This window comes from Homo sapiens, chromosome 8, assembly GCF_000001405.40.
Source record: "Homo sapiens chromosome 8, GRCh38.p14 Primary Assembly".
Classification (NCBI taxonomy): Eukaryota; Metazoa; Chordata; class Mammalia; order Primates; family Hominidae; genus Homo; species Homo sapiens.
The window spans coordinates 123,198,170-123,215,612 of record NC_000008.11 but is presented as its reverse complement, the minus strand read 5'-3'; the positions used below and the strand labels follow the sequence as shown (position 1 = coordinate 123,215,612).

General features: G+C 50.6%; 1 protein-coding gene and 1 long non-coding RNA gene across 8 annotated transcripts in view, besides 1 other annotated feature; one reads left to right on the top strand and one right to left on the bottom strand.

Annotated features, from left to right (window-relative positions):
• Positions 1-5,533: 5,533 nt before the first annotated feature.
• The window catches only part of FAM83A (family with sequence similarity 83 member A), a 31,033-nt gene continuing 19,123 nt past the window's right edge, over positions 5,534-17,443 (bottom strand). For 2 of the 7 annotated variants that reach the window (NM_032899.6, XM_005251087.4), the window contains one exon: positions 5,534-8,456. In NM_032899.6, coding sequence (NP_116288.2) covers positions 7,925-8,456 — 532 coding nt within the window. In that variant the 3' untranslated portion in view covers positions 5,534-7,924. Of the gene's footprint in view, positions 8,457-12,953; positions 13,230-13,785; positions 15,761-17,443 lie in introns of those variants that run through there. The other 5 variants (NM_207006.3, NM_001288587.3, NM_001394396.1 and 2 more) reach the window with 5 other exon arrangements.
• Positions 7,624-8,376: an enhancer, noted in NCBI's record as "H3K27ac-H3K4me1 hESC enhancer chr8:124219477-124220229 (GRCh37/hg19 assembly coordinates)". NCBI's record gives its function as "activates a minimal SCP1, AML or CMV promoter by ChIP-STARR-seq in naive H9 embryonic stem cells {active_cell/tissue: H9 hESC(naive)}" and the evidence as "EXISTENCE:reporter gene assay evidence [ECO:0000049][PMID:30033119]".
• On the top strand, positions 12,870-14,441 carry FAM83A-AS1 (FAM83A antisense RNA 1). The gene is made up of 3 exons (NR_024479.1): positions 12,870-13,405; positions 13,631-13,969; positions 14,159-14,441. It is a non-coding gene; the product is annotated as an FAM83A antisense RNA 1 (long non-coding RNA).

The following is a 17,443-nucleotide window of genomic DNA, read 5'->3' as shown; positions in this document are numbered from 1 at the left end:
ATTAAAAGATGTTTTAAAGGGCAGCTTTATAGTGCTTTTGAACTTGAATCTAGGTAGTCTGTTTACACCCTGCTTTCCAGGGGATTAATCAAAACAACAAAACAATGAGCAAACAGAGAGGGATGTGCAGAAGAGCCCAGAACTCTGCCAGTGTGGCTGCACACGCAGTCAAGTCGGACTCGGTCATCCACACGCGCTCGCTTTCTCTGTGCCTGGCCCTGTGCTGTAGGGTCAGAAGCTGAAGAGAATGCCCCCCGAACCTGCAGAAGAACATTCCGAAGAGTGGCAGCTCCATTTCTGTTTTCCCAGTCAAAATGTGTCCATCAGGAGACTTTGCTAAAGAAGTTTGGAGAGGAAAGGCATTTGTCCTCCTTGTCCTTTTCTCCCTCCTTCGCACGGGGTGGCTTCATCACCTAGCGCTTTGGTGTTGTATCTGCCCAGCTTCTGAGCTAACCACCACCCTTGCCCCCCTCCTCTCTCTTTCACAGGGGTGAGTACCTAGCAATCATGTTTGTACTCAACTACCTTAACTGATGCGGGAGTCGGGGGGTGTACCTGACCCAAGCTGTACCTGGCTAATCAGATTCTCTCCCAGAGGTTCAGAAATGATTCTTCTCATGGGTCTGACCCTAGCAAGCTCAAAAGTAGGGGGGTGGCTGTGTTCTGCCAAAGTGACTGAGGAATAGACAGGGCAGGACTGCAGAGAAGCAAAATGAAGGAGATGCCCCAAAGGGGCAGAGGGACAGTTCTCTGCTTTGCTACTTTTTTTTTTTTCTTTTTTCTTTATTTGAGACAGAGTTTCACTCCTGTTGCCCAGGCTGGAGTGCAATGGTGCGATCTCGGCTCACCACAACCCCTGCCTCCTGGGATCAAGCAATTCTCCTGCCTCAGCCTCCTGAGTAGCATTCACCACCATGCCTGGCTAATTTTGTATTTTTAGTAGAGACGGAGTGGTCTCGAACTCCCGACCTCAGGTGATCCGCCCGCCTTGGCCTCCCAAAGTGCTGGGATTACAGGTGTGAGCCACCACCCCTGTCTGCTTTACTACTTAGGATTCCAGGCTCTTCCTGGTCTCTAGGGCCTGAGGCCTCCATGAGAACCCTGGAGTGTGGTCGGCGTGCCCACATCCTAATCCCCAGAACCTATGAATACATTAGGTTACATGGCAAAGGGGAATTGAGGTTTCTAATCAGCTGACATTAAAATAGGTAGATTATCCTGCGTCATCCAAGTGGGCCCAATGTCATTGCTGAGATCTTTAAAAATGGAAGGTCGAGGTGGAGAGAATCAGAGTTGGAAAGATGCTACGGCACTAACTTAAAGATGGAGGAAGGAGCTATGAGCCAAGAAATTTGGGTAGAAAAGGCAAGGAAACATTCTCTCCTACAGTGTGTCCCGGAAAGTGCACAGCCCTGTAGACACCTTGATTCGAGCCCAGTGAGACCCGTCTTGAGAGTCGGAATGAGAGAATTGTAGATGAAAATGTGTTGCTCTAAGTCACTGTGCGTGTGGTAATTTCTTACAGCAGCAATAGGAAACCAACACACCAAGTAACCCAGTCCTTGCAACTCAAGAATCCTAATATGGGCCACTTGAATCCTTCTAACCTTGGCTTGAGGATAACACTTCGTGTCTCAGAAGGCTCTTTATAAATGACATACTTTCACTCATCGGCTTAATGGTAAACCTTGGTTTAGCATTGTTGTAGGCAATATCAAAGATCAGAGGCCACACTGGCTTTTAGGCAGCTCCCATCTACTAGAGTTCAGGACATCCACAGAAGTGGAACTGTTTTGTTTGTTTGTTTTTGAGATGGAGTTTTGCTCTTGTTGCCCAGGCTGGAGTGCAATGGTGCGGTCTCGGCTCACTGCAACCTCTGCCTCCCAGGTTCAAGAAATTCTCCTGCCTCAGCCTCCCAAGTAGCTGGGATTATAGGCGCCCATCACCACGCCGGGCTAATTTTTGTATTTTTAGTAGAGATGGCGTTTCACCATGTTGGCCAGGCTGGTCTCAAACTCCTGACCTCAGGTGATCCGCCTGCCTTGGCCTCCCAAAATGCTGGGATTATAGTTGTGAGCCACCACGCCCGGCCAGAAGTGGCACTTACGAGAGGGCAGGAGGGAGCGAGGCCTGGATAGTGCAGCATGCAGACAAGGGCTAGGGCTCTCAAAGAAGCTTCAGGAAGGAGGTAACATCTGAGCTGGGCCTCAGGAGAGACGAAGGTTTGCAGCAGGCTCGGTGGAGAATGAGAGGTATCGTGTCAGGGTCCTCAGCTGAGGGATAAGGAGAGCAAAGGCAGAGAGGAAGTGGAGGCTGGTGGCCAGTTGAGCGGCCGGAAGGGAGGTGGTGGGGAATGGGGCTGGCAGGTGAGCCAGCGCTGAATCACGAGGCCCCATCGATACCCTGGTGAGCAGCTTGGCTGTAGTCAGACGGAAAGCTTGTGAACAGGAGAATGGCTGGTATTGGGCTGTGCTTTAAATGGCAAATCTGATTTTACTTTCTAAATGTTAAACTACCTTTGAGCTTCAAGCAGTATGTGTTTTCTGGGAGAGCCCCAGGTATAAGTGCTCACCTGGAGGGTGGAGGTGAGCTCAAGACACCCAAGAAGAGGTGCCTTGGGGATCCACACTGATGGAGAGGGCATCACTCTCGGCTGCTGTTGAACAGAGCCAAGCTCTTCCCCAAGGCTCTCCCCTCTGGCTGGCATGCCTTGCCTGCCTTTTGTGTGGCTGGCTCTGTCTCCCTTCCAGGGCTCAGCACTGATGTCTCCCCTCATACAGACCTTCCCTGGCCCCTGTCACTGCTCCATATCATTCTCTCTCAGTCCAACAAACCTCAGATCAGGGCAGTGCAAACCCCAGAGGCAGCAAGGCTCCGGACACCTTCATGTGAGCTGAGTGCCAGCACCATTCTCTTTCCCCTGGCACGTTGTAGGCCACAATTGTGATGAAATACATGAATGCAGGCCCCTTTGAAGCGGAACCCAAGGCTGGCCTCACCAAGCCCAGACCTCCAGGGCTCTACACCCCCTTTTTAATTGCAAATCCAGGATTTGGAATAGGATATTCAGCAGGGGAACCACTGCATGAGTCCCGTCCGGATTAGGAAGGATAATCTGCTTTACTCAATCTACAAAGTCAGGTGTTAGTATCATCCAGAAACACCCTCGCAGAAACATCGAGAAGAATGTTTGTCCAAATATCTGGACGCTCCGTAGCCAAGTTGAAACATGAAATTAACCATCATAAGTCCACCTGGCATCAGTGCACAGCTCCTTAAACTCTTCATCCAATTGACTGGTGTCCTTATAAGAAGAGGAAATTGGAGATGCAGGGAGACCCCAGGGGTGCAGGCACACAGAGGGATGGCCACATGAAGGGGTAGCAAAAGAAAGGAGAAAGGCTATCTGTGAGCCAAGGAGAGCGGCCACAGAAGAATCTAGCTCTGTGGACACCTTGGTCTTGGACTTCCAGCCTCCAGAACTATGAGAGAATACATTTCTGTTGTTGAAGCTGCCCATTGTGTGGTGTTTATGTTTCAGCAGCCCTAGCTAGGTACACACTGCCCTTCCAAACACAAACAGGGAAAGCCCCCTGCAGAGGATTTTTCTTACTCTTCCCTTTTCTCTGGGCTGCTTTGTGTGCTTCGTCGGTGGCATCTTCCTTATCTCCAGGGTTTGCATTTGTTATTCCTCCACGTTCCTGAAAATCAAGGGAAAGGCCTGCTTGTATTTTTCCGGGGAGACTGGGAAGATAGGGCTCAACGACCTTGGGGATTCTTCACTCACCACCATGTCAGTGGGAGAATCTGAAAATCTCTGTTCTCAAGTCAAGGCCACTAGCCTAGAAAGTGTCTTTGTGTGAATTTGTGAAGGGCGTCCTTGCCTGACTCAGGGAGTGGGCAGTAGGGGAAGGTGGCCTTGGCAAGCATAGCTATGGTGGACTTCAGCCTCCCCGGCGCGCCGCCGTCGTCTGCGCCGCGTCTCTCCATCCGCCCCGTGTGCTGCATCATGGTTTCATGCTCTCCTTCACCACACGCTACAGAGGAAAGAAGGATGGAGCGCCCTAGGAAGCAATGCCTGGGTCAAACGAAATACAGTGAACAACAGCAAGAGGAGGTTGTGTTTATGTTTGCACGTGTGTCTGCAGTATTTACATCCTCTAATAACAGTTCCAACACAGAGACACTCTTCAAGAGGAAGCTAGGAAAGTGAGTGACAGTTTCTCTGTGTCCACCGGCTTTTTGGATCAAGTTCAGAAAGTGAAATATTTGGGCCGGACACAGTGGCTCACGCCTGTAACCCCAGCACTTTGGGAGGCTGAGGTGGGTGGATCACCTGAGGTCGCGAGTTTGAGACCAGCCTGGCCAACATGGCAAAACCCCATCTCTACAAAAAATACAAAAATTAGTCGATGTGGCGGCGGGCGCCTGTAATCCCAGCTACTTGGGAGGCTGAGGCAGGAGAATCGCTTGAACCTGGGAGGTAGTGGTTGCAGTGAGCTAAGATCGCGCCACTCCAGCCTGGGCGACAGAGTAAGACTGTCTCAAAAAAAAAAAAGTGAATTATTTGAAGAAGCTGCTTTGACATTTTCATGACAGGCTAGCAGGGTCAGCACGAAGACTAAGTGAAGGCGAGGCAGCCCTTCCTCCCCTACATTCTGGAGGGACAGAGAGTGAAGGTGGTCTGGGGTATCTGATTATTCGTCTCCCCTGTAGGAGCAAAGCTCCTCACCAGTGTTCAACCAGGGAGGACTGACTGTGCCCTTGGACTGTCTGTGGCACCAATGTAGCTCTGGACCTGTGGGTCCAGAGAGATACCTTTGGTCTCTGGGCTCTTATGATGTAAATGGAGAGACAGGAGAGCAGTATCTGATGAGGACCAAGTGCAGGTAACAGATCATTCCTAGGAGACAGGGGCTCTGAGGAGCAGCGTTGATCATTAGCAACCCACACCTCAGTCCATGTTGGCTGACTGTCCTGTAGATAGGTCCTATGATCCAAAGTCCCTGGTTTGGGGGATGTGTTTGACCTTAGGTGAGGTACCCCAGGACATGAAGATCATAGTATTTCTTCATTCTCTCATGTTCTTCATGGTGGCTGTTCACATGAAGGTCCCTCCCAGCCCTCTCCGGAGCTGACACAGTGCCTGGCACATAAGAGATGCTAAGCTGCAGCTGTTGAAATTCACACTGTAGTAGAGACTCCATATGTTTAAAGACACGGAGTGACACTCTAGCAAGCAGGCCGCAGTGAGGGAGGTACAGGTGTGATTATAACCCAGAGCAGAATTAAAGATGGAACGTGACCCGGTTTTGTAGGATTTGAAAGTTGGATAAAGACTTCTTCTAGCTTTCAGATAGACAATTGCCAGGTGTGTCAAACCACCCCTAATCCTGTGGTGGAAATAGTGTATGTGTCGGGGGGTCTTGGGAATCCAGAGCAATGGCCTAGCCTGGAGTTGGGGGGTCTCAGAGGCTGTATCACTCGGGCAAAGCTAGATCATGGTGCAGGAAGAAACAATCCCCAAATCGCAGTGGCTTAAACAACAAAGGTTTATTTCTTGCTCACTACATATCCATTGTGGGTTGGTGGGGTGGGAGTGGGGGATTCTGCTCATCGCTTAGGACCCCAGGCTGGCAGAGGAGGGTTTCAACTGGAGAGCTGCTTCTATGTGGCAACCTGGACCCAGGCTCTCAAAGCTTCTGCCCAGAAGTGACCCTCGGCGGTTCTGCTCATGCTCCACTCGCCGGGGCAGCCCCGACCTAACCTCCCAGCAGGCAGCGCATCACATGTTACAGGTGCCCAGGAGAGGAGAAACTGCACCTTTGTCAACAAAGACGACCACGGAGGGGAGACTGCTGATGGAGGGTGGTCAGGAGTAGGGGGGCTTGTTCCTGCCTGCAGGTTCTCCCCTATCTCCCAGGACTGAGCTCGACACAGGCACAGGCTGAGGCCTTTGGAAAGCTGGGCTTGGGAGCTTCTGTGACCTGGCAAGCTTTGCCTTCCTTAAACTTTCTCAGCAGATGGTGAAATCCAATTTGGAATGTTCAGCCGGGCCCAGTCATTCTAACCTCATCTCAGCCGTCAGCTGTGAAACAACAAGGTCAGGGCTGGGTTCAGAAAGCCATCAGGAACCAAAGTGTTGTTTGTTTTTTTGTTTTTGTTTTGTTTTGTTTACTTTCAGGAACTAAGGAGGAAAAAAGTGAAGGACAGGAATACAATAATTAATAATAATAATAATAATAAAAGAAACCAGAAGCCAAGATGCCCCAGATCATGCTGGGAGCAGTGGAGAATTGGAACAGAGGGATGGATGGGCAGAGGGGACTAGGGAGGATGCCACAGGCCGTCAGGGGTCAGAGGCCACCAGGAGGAAGAGCTCTGTGCTCTCGTCCCTCCACAGCGAAGGCTGAGCTTCCCCGCCAAAAACCGACAAGGGAGGAGAGGGCCTAGAAACAGGAGAAGGATGTGGAGTTGGCACCTGCTCCCCTCTGGCTCCCCAGCCTGGATCACATACCACTGACCCCACTATCACACCTGAGGTGCAGGGTTAACTCTTACTTTATCTGGGAAGTGTCTCTGACATCCCACCCACCACAGGGCTGGCCAACCCTCCTCTATGCTCTCTCTCTTTTTTTTTTTTTTTTCTGTGACGGAGTCTTGCTTTGTTGCCCATGCTGGAGTGCAGTGATGCAATCTCAGCTCATTGCAACCTCTGCTTCCTGGGTTCAAGCAATTCTCCTGTCTCAGCCTAATTTTTGTATTTTTAGTAGAGACGGGGTTTCACCATATTGGTCAGGCTGGTCTCGAGACCAGGTAATCCACCTGATCTCAGGTAATCCAACCACCTTGGCATCCCAAAGTTCTGGGATTACAGGCATGAGCCACCACGCCTGGCCCCTCCTGTATGCTTTCTAAGCATCCTATATTTCTTTGCACTCAGCTAGGCTGTGCCCTCAGGACCTAGTTCCACCCCAGAAACAAAGAGGGGCACTGTGAATTGAGAAGAAATGAATGATGGGGCTTGTGAGGTTCAGCATTTATTCCTCAGGAGGTGACCAGGCTGGTCAGAGGCACCTGGATCTGGGGACAGCTGAGCCCTCCCTGCTGCTCAAGACTGGCCTGGGCACTGCAGTGGGGCCAGTCCTGGCCCCTGACAACTCAAGCTCCTAGGTCCAGTCTAGACTCCAGGGACCTCCAGGCCAGCCCAAGGCTCTTTGAAGCAAGAATCTGAGTCTACTAACCTGCCTTGTCCAACCCAACACCCCAAACTCCTCAGCTAGCTGCATCCCTGGTGGCTACAGCTTCAGATGGCTCCCCCATACAACTCATAGATAACGGGTTCTGGGGCCTCACCCCTAATTCATTGGGCCCAAGGATACCCTAGTATTAGCCTTTCCTAAGAGGAGGAGTTTCCCCAACTCTCCCGAAACATCCAGAATGTTCCCACACCTTCTCCTCAGTCTTTCTTTCCTGAATTTCTTGGGAGTGGACCATTCCTGGGCACTGGGAACCAGAAGTACCAAACTACCATCTATCTCTCAGTGCCTCTGTTTACCCATTTGTAAAACTTGGGCTGCATTTCCTGCTTCTTACGGAGTTTTGGGGGCCATTAATATTAAAGCCCCGGATGATCTCTGGAAGACAGGGACTCTGTTTTCATGATTTTGTCCTCTAGCTGCCCCACAACCTCCCTGGAACCTTCTGGAATGTGCTGCACAGGTCAAACTAGAGCGGGGAACCCAAGAACTGGTGGGGGCCGGCAAGTGGATGGCCTGGGGCCTGGGAACATTGAACCATGGCAGTGATTTTGAGTGTCTTTTCAAAGGGAAGTGGCTCAACGCCACTCGTCGTTGAGGTGGGTCTTTGGGTCTCAGGGAGTGCCCAGCCCTGGGCCTGCGGAGGGCAGCAGGGGATGGGACCTTCAGAAGTGAGGGGAGGCCTGCAGGAAGGGCCTCCAGGTTGGAGTCAGCCTCGGCACCAGGCCCAGCTGCTCCAGCTGCAGCCGCGTGGGCCTGTAGGCCCCCAGGTTGCTGTAGACAGCGGCGGGCGGGCCGTCGTGGGGCCGCGGGGAGAGGTGGGCCTGGGGACTCGGGGCTCCCCAAGGGCCTTGGTGGGGCTGGAACCGGGGCGGTGGAGGCGGGTGTGGGGCCGCGGGGCTACAGGGCCCTGAAGACGCGGACACACTTCGGGTACCGGGGTGGCTGCCTGCCGAGCGGCCGCTGAAGGGGTTGGAGGACGTGCGGTCACTGGCGGAGCCACTGCTGCTGCTAAGGCGGCCATTGGCCGGGGCTGCTCCGGGCGGGACGGGGGCGACCAGCCGCGGGGACTTCAGGCCCATCACAGGCTTGGAGGAGGCGTAGAGGTGGCGGAACTCCTCGTCAAACAGCTCCACCGCCTGGCCTGTGAACTTGGAGAGGATGTTCCGGTGCACGTGTCCGCAGAGCCAGGTGAAGCTGGAGGGGAAGAGGAGAGAGAGTGATGGAGGAGAAGGGGGAAGGATGGGGAGGGGAAGTGGAGGAGGAGGGGGAGGGGAGGAAGAGGGAGGGAGGAGGTGGAGGAAGGAGAAGGAGGGAGAGGGGAAGTGGGAGGGGGAAGAGGAAGAGGAGGAGGGGAGGGGGAAGGGAAGTGGGAAGGGGAGGAGGAGGAAAAGGAGGGGAGGGGGAGGAGGAAGAAGAGGAGGAAGAGGAGGAGGAGGAGGACAGATAGGAGGCTTCGCCGGCCCAGGCCCCAAGATCCTCCTGGGGGACCAGTCTGGGAGTTGTGGGTCCCCTCGGGGCAGGGACGGAAGGGGACCAACCCATGCCCACTGCCCCTCCTCTTGGGCTCATTTCATCCTGGCAGAAACCCTGAGAGAGAGACATTGCGACACCTCTCTTACAGACGACAAAACTGAGGCTCAGGGGCCAGAATGTGTTTGCGGGTGAATAATTAAGATGCCAGAGCGAATCCCTGGTCTCAAGGCTCCCTCCTGGTGCTCAGATTGCAGCCCCTTAGAGGCTCCCTGAGGAGGCAGAAGGGAGCTGAGTCTCAGGCCCCCAGAGTCTGCGCTTAGGGTAGTCACCCAGCAGCCGGGGCCTTCTCGTCTCCACCTGTGGAATGTGGAGGGCCAGCGCGCCTTTAACCACACAGGGGTCGGGAAAGCCCCTGCAAAAGGCGGCTGCTCTTGGGAAGCCGGACTGTGTTTTCACGAAAATCTAAAGCGTTCCTGAAAGAGGATTCGGCTCCATTTTCAGGCACAGGGACCCAGCAGGGATGAGTGGAGGAGGAGCACCGTGCGCCTCCCGTTGACGCTGACAGGAGTGGTTTATGGAGGAAGCACCCAGACACGGGGCCGAGGCTGTCGGGGCGAGGGGTGGTGGAAGACACCCTCAAGGAGAGGCCTGGGGCCACCACTTACAGGTTTTAGGGAAAAACAAAATGCCTAAGGCAGTTATTACTTTGTATGATTCCCAGATTTTTTTTTTTTTTTTTGAGAGTCTTACTCTGTCACCTAGGCTGGAGTGCAATGGTGCGATCTCGTCCCACTGCAACCTCCGCCTCTCAGGTTCAAACGATTATTCTGCCTCAACCTCCCAAGTAGCTGGGATTACAGGCGCCCGCCACCACGCCCAGCTAATTTTTGTATTTTTAGTAGAGACAGGGGTTCACCATGTTGGCCAGGCTGGTCTCGAACCCCTGACCTCGTGATCCGCCCGCCTCGGCCTCCCAAAGTGCTGGGATTACAGGCGTGAGCCACCGCGCCCGGCCTGTTTCCCAGATTTAACCCCAACTCTTTTCTGTTTCCGATGGAAAACTCCTTTCGTTTCTCCCCCCGCCCCCTCAATGCTTGAAACTCTGGTAACAGCATAGACCTCCCGAGAGCAGCAGGCTAGAGGCTCCTGGGCTCCTGCTCAGGTGAACTTGAAGCAAGAGGGAGAGGATGGTCGGGGGAATGGTCGCCGAGCCGGGACAGCGCCAGAGCTAAGCAGAAACGGGCCCGTCAAAGATAGGATCGCAGCCCCCAGCCCCCAGCCCACCTGTCTTGCCACCCAAAGGCCTGGCCTCAGCCCAGGGTTGGGAGTTCCCTGCTCTGTGAGGCAGGGCGGGGCCGCACAAGGCTCGGATAATCCTGGGAACAGCAATGAGGCTTTGTTTAAATCTCACCTCCCGCCGGGAACCACCCACACCCCCAGAGAGGTGAGCAGTTGATGCCGAGCCAAGCGCCAGCCCCGCCACGGGACAGGAGGCAAGCGCAGGGACAAAGGGCCGCACTGCACTCAGAAGCCAGTCGCCCTCTGTTGTCTGAATCAGGCTGCATGGGGCAACATAGCTGCTGCTTTGCTCAACAGAACAAGAACAAGTCCAAAGAACAAGTCCAAAGACTTCCTGGCAACTCCTCAGGTCCCCAGCACCTGTGTCCCCGATTGCACTGTGCCCCGCCCCAGAGCCCCGCCACACCTGCACACCCGCGCATCTCATGCTTTAGCTTTTTTTTTCTTTTCTTTTAAAATTTTTTTTTGAGACGCAGCCTTGCTCTGTCGCCCAGGCTGGAGTGCAGTGGCGTGATCTCGGCTCATCGCAGCCTCTGCCTCCTGGGTTAAAGCAATTCTCTGCCTCAGTCTCCAGAGTAGCTGGGATTACAGGTGCCCACCACCACATCTGGCTAATTTTTTGTATTTTTAGTAGAGACAGGGTTTCACCATCTTGGCCAGCCTGGTCTTGAACTCCTGACCTTGTGATCCACTTGCCTCGGCCTGCCAAAGTGCTGGGATTACAGATGTGAGCCACTGCACCTGGCCATGCTTTAGCTTTTATACTTTTGATCACAGCCCATGAGCAGAGAGGCGTTTCCTTTCTTTTTTTTTTATTTGAGACAGAGTCTGGCTCTGTCGTCCAGGCTGGAGTGCAGTGGCGCGATCTCGGCTCACTGCAAGCTCGCCTCCTGGGTTCAAGCCATTCTCCTGCCTCAGCCTCCCAAGTAGCTGGGACTACAGGCGCCCGCCACCATGCCCGGCTAATTTTTTTGTATTTTAGTAGAGACGGGGTTTCACCATGTTAGCCAGGATGGTCTTGATCTCCTGACCTCGTGATCCACCCGCCTCGGCCTCCCAAAGTGGTGGGATTACAGGCGTGAGCCACTGCGCCCGGCCAATACATTTTATTTCTATTGTTGTTTGGCCCATAAGTACGTAGCATTCACTTAATCATCTTTGGCTCATGACCAAACTCTACTCATTGGTCTATTCATCACCCATTTTCACTTATTTAACTATTTAATTGGTGATTTTAAGTAATATAGTAAGCACTTATGAACCCACTACCTAAAAGAAAAGGTCACATCTTTTTTAAAAATTTTTTCTCTTAAAAAAATTTTTTTGGGGGCAGAGATGGGATCTTGCTATGTTGCCCAGACTGGTCTTGAACTCCTGGCTTCAAGTGATCCTCCCTGCTTGGCCTCCCGAAGTGCTGAGATTACAGGCATGAGCCACCACACCTGGCCAAGGTAGCATCTTGAGGATAGTCCACATCTAGCCATAGGGTCCCTTCTTGCATCCCTTTCCCAGGACCCCTGAACTAGAACTCAGCACATCATGAATCCTGTGATCATAACGCCCTTGCTTTCCTTTTTCCATAATTATAGAATTTTTTTTTGTCCTTTTTTTTTTTTTTTTTGAGTTGGAGTTTCACTCTTGTTGCCCAGGCTGGAGTGCAGTGGCGTGATCTCGGCTCACTGCAACCTCTGCCTCCTGGGTTCAAGCGCTTCTTCTGCCTCAGCCTCCTAAGTAACTGGGGTTACAACAATGCTGGCTAATTTTTTGTTTTGTTTTTTTAACCATATGTTGCCTCTTTGGTGAAACGCCTGCTTATGTCTCCCACCCACTTTTCTGCTGTGCTCTTGTGCTCTTGTGAGTCTCAGCACTAATCTCTGTCAGGGGTGTGCATCTTGAATAGCTGCTTCCAGTTTGTAACTGACTTTTCACTTCCTTTAAGATGTCTTTCTTTTTTTCTTTTCTTTTCTTACTTTTTTTTTTTTTTTTTTTTTTGAGACAGATCTCATTCTGTCCCCCAGGCTGGAGTGCAGTGGCTTGATCTCAGCTCACTGCAACCTCTGCCTCCTGGATTCAAGTGATCCTCCCACCTCAGCCTCCCGAGTAGTTGGGACTACAGGCACGTGCCACCACACTCGGCTAATTTTTGTATTTTTAGTAGAGACAGGATTTTACCATGTTGGCCAGGCTGGTCTTGAACTCTTGACCTCAGGTGATCCACCTTCCTCTGCCTCCCAAGGTGCTGGGATTACAGATGTGAACCACCGCACCCAGCCAAGATGTCTTTCAATGAACCAACATTCTTAATTGTAATATAGTCAGATTAAGCAAACTTTTATGGTCACTGCTTTTTTTTTTTTAATGTGTGTATGTTTTCCTTTTAAAGAAATCTACTGAGAGTTTTAGTTTATTTTCAACATTCAAATTCTTTTCAACTATTGCAAGTCGATTTGTAAACAAATGCGTGCATGGTGGGTAGTAATCCCATTTTACATACGGGGAGTTATTTTTTCCAGTTCCTCCTTTCCCCACTGCTCTGTCATGCCCTGTGGTGTGTGAATATGTGCCTGAGCTTTCTGTTCTGTGTGTCAATTTGTCCCTCCTCCAATGACACATTGTCTTGATTACTGCAGTTTCATGACAAGTTCTGAACTCTGGTAGGGCAAGTCGTCCCTGCTTGTTTTTCTTTTTCGGATTTATCTTGGCTATTCTTGGAAAAGCACATTTAACATCATGACCCACAAGTACATAACCACACAATAATTTCCAGAACATCCTTTACCTCAGCGTGGTCTGATTATTTTTATTCTATTCCGTGTCATTTAAAAAAAATGCTAGACATCATCTACTAAATTGATTTCACACCCCGCTAATGGATGGTGAGGCACAGTTTGAAAAACTGCATTCTTTCAGGACACTGAATGGTCAGAACCCAATGTGCTTTTATTCATTCATTCAACAAATATTTGTGGCCATGTATAATGTATCAGGTGCTGTATTTACTGTACTTCATGCCAGGAAAGCAACAGAGAAGAAAACATACCCAGTCCAGTCCCTGACCTCATGTCATTTACAATCTCGGCTAATCAAGTTCACAAATAAATAATTCCAAATCATGATGGGAGTGAAGCCATAGAGGATAAGAGGGCTCGGGGTGGTGATCAGAGGTCTCTGAGGCAATGATCTGGAAGCTGCCACCTACAAGATAAAGAGTAAGCAAGATAGAGACAGCAGGAATGAGCTCTCCGACGGAGGGCATGAACAGCAAGTGCAAAGGCCCTGCGACTCGAAAGAGCATGAAAGACTGAGGAAGCGGCCAGTGTGGCTCCAACACAGTGGAGGAGTGGGGGGATCCTACTGAGATAGAGGCCCTGGTAAGGATGTAGATTTTTGTTGTTGTTGTTGTTCCTAGGAGCAGTGGCGAGTACTGAAGGATTTTAAAGTGGTTTGATCTGGTTTGTGTTTCTGTTCCTGGGAGAGAAAACCCATGGATGGCAGTGGGGGCGGGGCAGGAGGCCAATTAGAAGCCAGGATGATGTCTTGCTGTTGTTCCCCATCCTGTTCCCAATGCCCAATTTTGCCTGCCTCTTCCCCACCAGGGCTGAATAATTCTCATCCTTCAAGGCCCAACTCCAGCCAATGGCACCGACCTCCTGGACCTGCTAGGCAGAAGTGGTGGCTCCCTCTCAGCTGACCCCAGAGCACTTCCTTAGCTCCTGCTGATCTCAGAGCACACACACCAATCCACTCTGGCCACTCAGCAATTTTTCTTGATGGCCCTGGCATGGCACCTATGCTGGGGTCAGACCCTCAACCAGCCCTTCAGTGTTGAAATGCACAACCTCAGCCCTCTAGCCTCAGCGGAGGAAGCAGGGCTCTTCAGTTTGGGAGAACCATATACAACCAGAAGAAGGGGCCAAAATATCTGAAGCCCCCAGGTAGCGGGGCTAAAAGAAAGGGATAAATGGCCTCTTCTGGTTTTTTTTCTTTGTTTGTTTTTGTTTTTACTGGAAACAACTCTAAGGGGAGACTGGTCCCAGTGAAGATGATCCCCTGAAAGGCTAGTAAGCAGGTCACCTTTGAATGTCAAGGGCAAAATCACTGTTGGTGTCCTGTTCTCCCTCCAGGAGCTGGCTCCTCCACAGCTCTCAGGAATGACAGTAAACACAGACGGCCCTGCATGTATTCCGGCTGTGGCAGCCTTCCTCCTGGGCTGCACATCAGGCTAACAAGCCCAGCCCTCAGCTTCACAGGGATTGGAGAGCTGGTGACCCTAGTCAAGGAAGCTGGTGACCCTGGATCAGTTGCCTCCCCTCTCTGTGCCTAAATCCCCCACCCCACTTCTGTCAATTAGGAGGATGATGCCTTCTTCAAAGTGTTGTCATAAAGATTAAATCCTTATTAAAGTCTGTTTTTGTTTTTGTTTCTGTTTTTTTTTGAGACAGTCTCACTCTGTCGCCCAGGCTGGAGTGCATCTTGGCTCACTACAACTTCCACCTCCCAGGTTCAAGTAATTCTCCTGCCTCACCCTCCCTAGTAGCCAAGATGACAGGCACGTGCCACCACACCAGCTAATTTTTTTTTTGTATATATGTGTATATATATATATATATTTTTTTTTTTTGTTTATTTGTTTGAGACAGAGTCTTGCTCTGTCACCTAGGCTAGAGTGGATCTCGGCTCACTGCAACCTCTGCCTCCCAGGTTCAAGCAATTCTACTGCCTCAGCCTCCCAAGTAGCTGGAATTACAGGCACCCACCACCACATCTGGCTAATTTTTTGTATTTTTAGTAGAGACAGGGTTTTGCCATGTTGGCCAGGCTGGCCTCGAACTCCTGACCTCAGGTGATTCACCCGCCTCGGCCTCCCAAAGTGCTGGGATTACAGGTGTGAGCCATCGCGCCCCTCCTGATTTTTTATATTTTTAGTAGAGATGGGGTTTCACCATGTTGACCTGGCTGGTCTCAAACTCCTGACCTCAAGTGACCCACCCCGCTCAGCCTCCCAAAGTGTTGGGATTACAGGCATGAGCCGCCACACCTGGCCCTTATTAAAGTTCTGATCACACCTGGCCCAGTCCCTGACATCCTTCAGCAATGTTAGTTCTGCTTCCTCCTGCCCCTGCCCAGGGCGAGGGCCCCCCAGCTGCGTGATGGACTCTGGAAGGGCAAGTGCAAATTAAAGATGAGATGCTTAATTCTTCCCACTGAAAATAAGGGAAGAGACCTTCCCCTTCTTCCTTTTCTACTTCAAAAATTTTAGCTGTATGTAAATCACACTCCATCCTCCGGTGTTCTGGAAGAAGGTGGGCCTGACTGCAGCTGTCCTCTGACTCCACAAGCAGAACCTCCCTACTGTAATGGGTTGGATCCACTTTGCTATATGAAAGAGAGGTTTTGTTCTGCCTGCTGTCTCTGTAGTGAGTTGCCCATCATGTGCATCATATTCTGGTCCAATGCTTACTTGATAACACAATTGTTTTCCTTCACTTCTACTTTCGTAGGGAAGTTTTCTGAGAGAAGATTTTGTTTTTCATTTTAATTCCCCAGTAGCTCCCATAAGACAGGGAGAGATGAACTCCACTCCCATCTGTCTTGTGTGGAAATGGTTTCAGACTTCTCTGCTGGCTTCTTTAGTTGGAGAGTGGGCTGGGCAGCGGGGCTGAGAGCTGTTAAGGGTTGAGGGCTGGGGGAAGGCATGTTTTCCAGCACTTTCCCTCTAACAAACCCTGCAGAAGGATAACACACAGGAAGGGCCCTTACTTCCTGGAATAATGCTTCACAAATAAAAAAATTAGTATACTTTCATAATAATAGCTCTTTTCTTTCTTTCTTTCTTTTTTTTTTGAGACAGAATTTCGCTCTTGTTGCCCAGGCTGGAGTGCAATGGTGCAATCTTGGCTCACCGCAACCTCTGCCTCCTGGGTTCAAGCTATTCTCCTGCCTCAGCCTCCTGAGCAGCTGGGATTACAGGCATGGGCCACCACACATGGCTAATTTTGTATTTTTAGTAGAGATGGGGTTTCTCCATGTTGGTCTGGCTGGTCTCGAACTCCTGACCTCAGGTGATCTGCCCACCTTGGCCTCCCAAAGTGCTGGGATTACAGGCGTGAGCCACCGCGCCTGGTCAATGATAGCTCTTTTCTAATTCACAGAAACCCACTGGAAAGTGAGGTCAAACCACTTTATACAACAGACCAATGTTAGTTAAGCATAAAAATGCTGGTAACAGTAATAATCACGGCCTGCCTGGTAAAACTCACGAATCCTTTTCAAACAGACCCTGCTTGGAATTATAATTATTAATATCAAAATAAATTTGAAAGTATAAGTAATACCAATGTCTTAACAATACACTCTCAAGTGACCTTTTTTTAGTGCATCTCAGATGCCCAGCAGCGAAGTATTTACACTTGCTGTTTTACTTAATTTTACAACAATTCTAATACAAATGGAGTGCGTTATTGTTTTCCATTTTGTTCTGATGAGGAAACAGGCCCAGAGAGATGGCAGGTACACAGCTATTAAAAGTTGGGTATAGAAGCTGGGAGCAGTGGCTGACGCCTGTAATCCCAGCACTTTCGGAGGCCGAGGAGGGCGCATCAATTGAGGTCAAGAGTTCGAGACCAGCCTGGCCAACACAGTGAAACCCCCGTCTCTACTAAATATACAAGACAATTACCCGGGTGTGGTGGTGCACGCCTGTAATTCCAGCTACTCAGGAGGCTGAGGTGGAAGTATCTCTTGAACCAGGAGGCTGAGGCTGCAGTGAGCCGAGATCACGCCACCACCACGCTAGGCAAAAGAGCGTCTCAAAAAAAAGAGTGGGGTACGACCTAACACATTCAAATTATTCTTCTTCTAGGAGAAAGCATAATGTATGAGATATTGTTTGGTTTAAAAGTGAAATGATATGGATTTGAGGATTCGAGGGTGGAACAATTCATATTTCGAGAAGCTGAAGACAGACATTCTGTTTTCCTGAAGGTGTTAAAGGGAAGTTTATCTTGGGAATGTGTTTCAGCTTAATCTGCCCAGCATTTGACACCATTTGGTAGAGGGAGGAAGCCCCCACTCCTAGCGCAGTTCTGATCTCCCTGAAATGTTTGAAATCCCTCCCGGTCGCTTAAGCTCCTTCATCAGTTTTCATCATGCACACAGATAATAAGAACTTGTTTCTCAGCCTTTTATCTTTACATCTTTGTTTCCAAATGCCTGTGTTCCCAGGCCTTCTCCTTTTTTCCACAGAGATAACTGCCCCATGGTCGTGTGCAATGCAGCTAGTGGGTCCTGGGAGGGCGTAACGTTTCTCAAAAATAATTGCCTAATCTTGAACTTTGGGGCAGGACATTATAGATAAGAGCCTCCGGGTAAGAAGACTTTTTTTAAAAAACATCCAAACCTTGATCTAC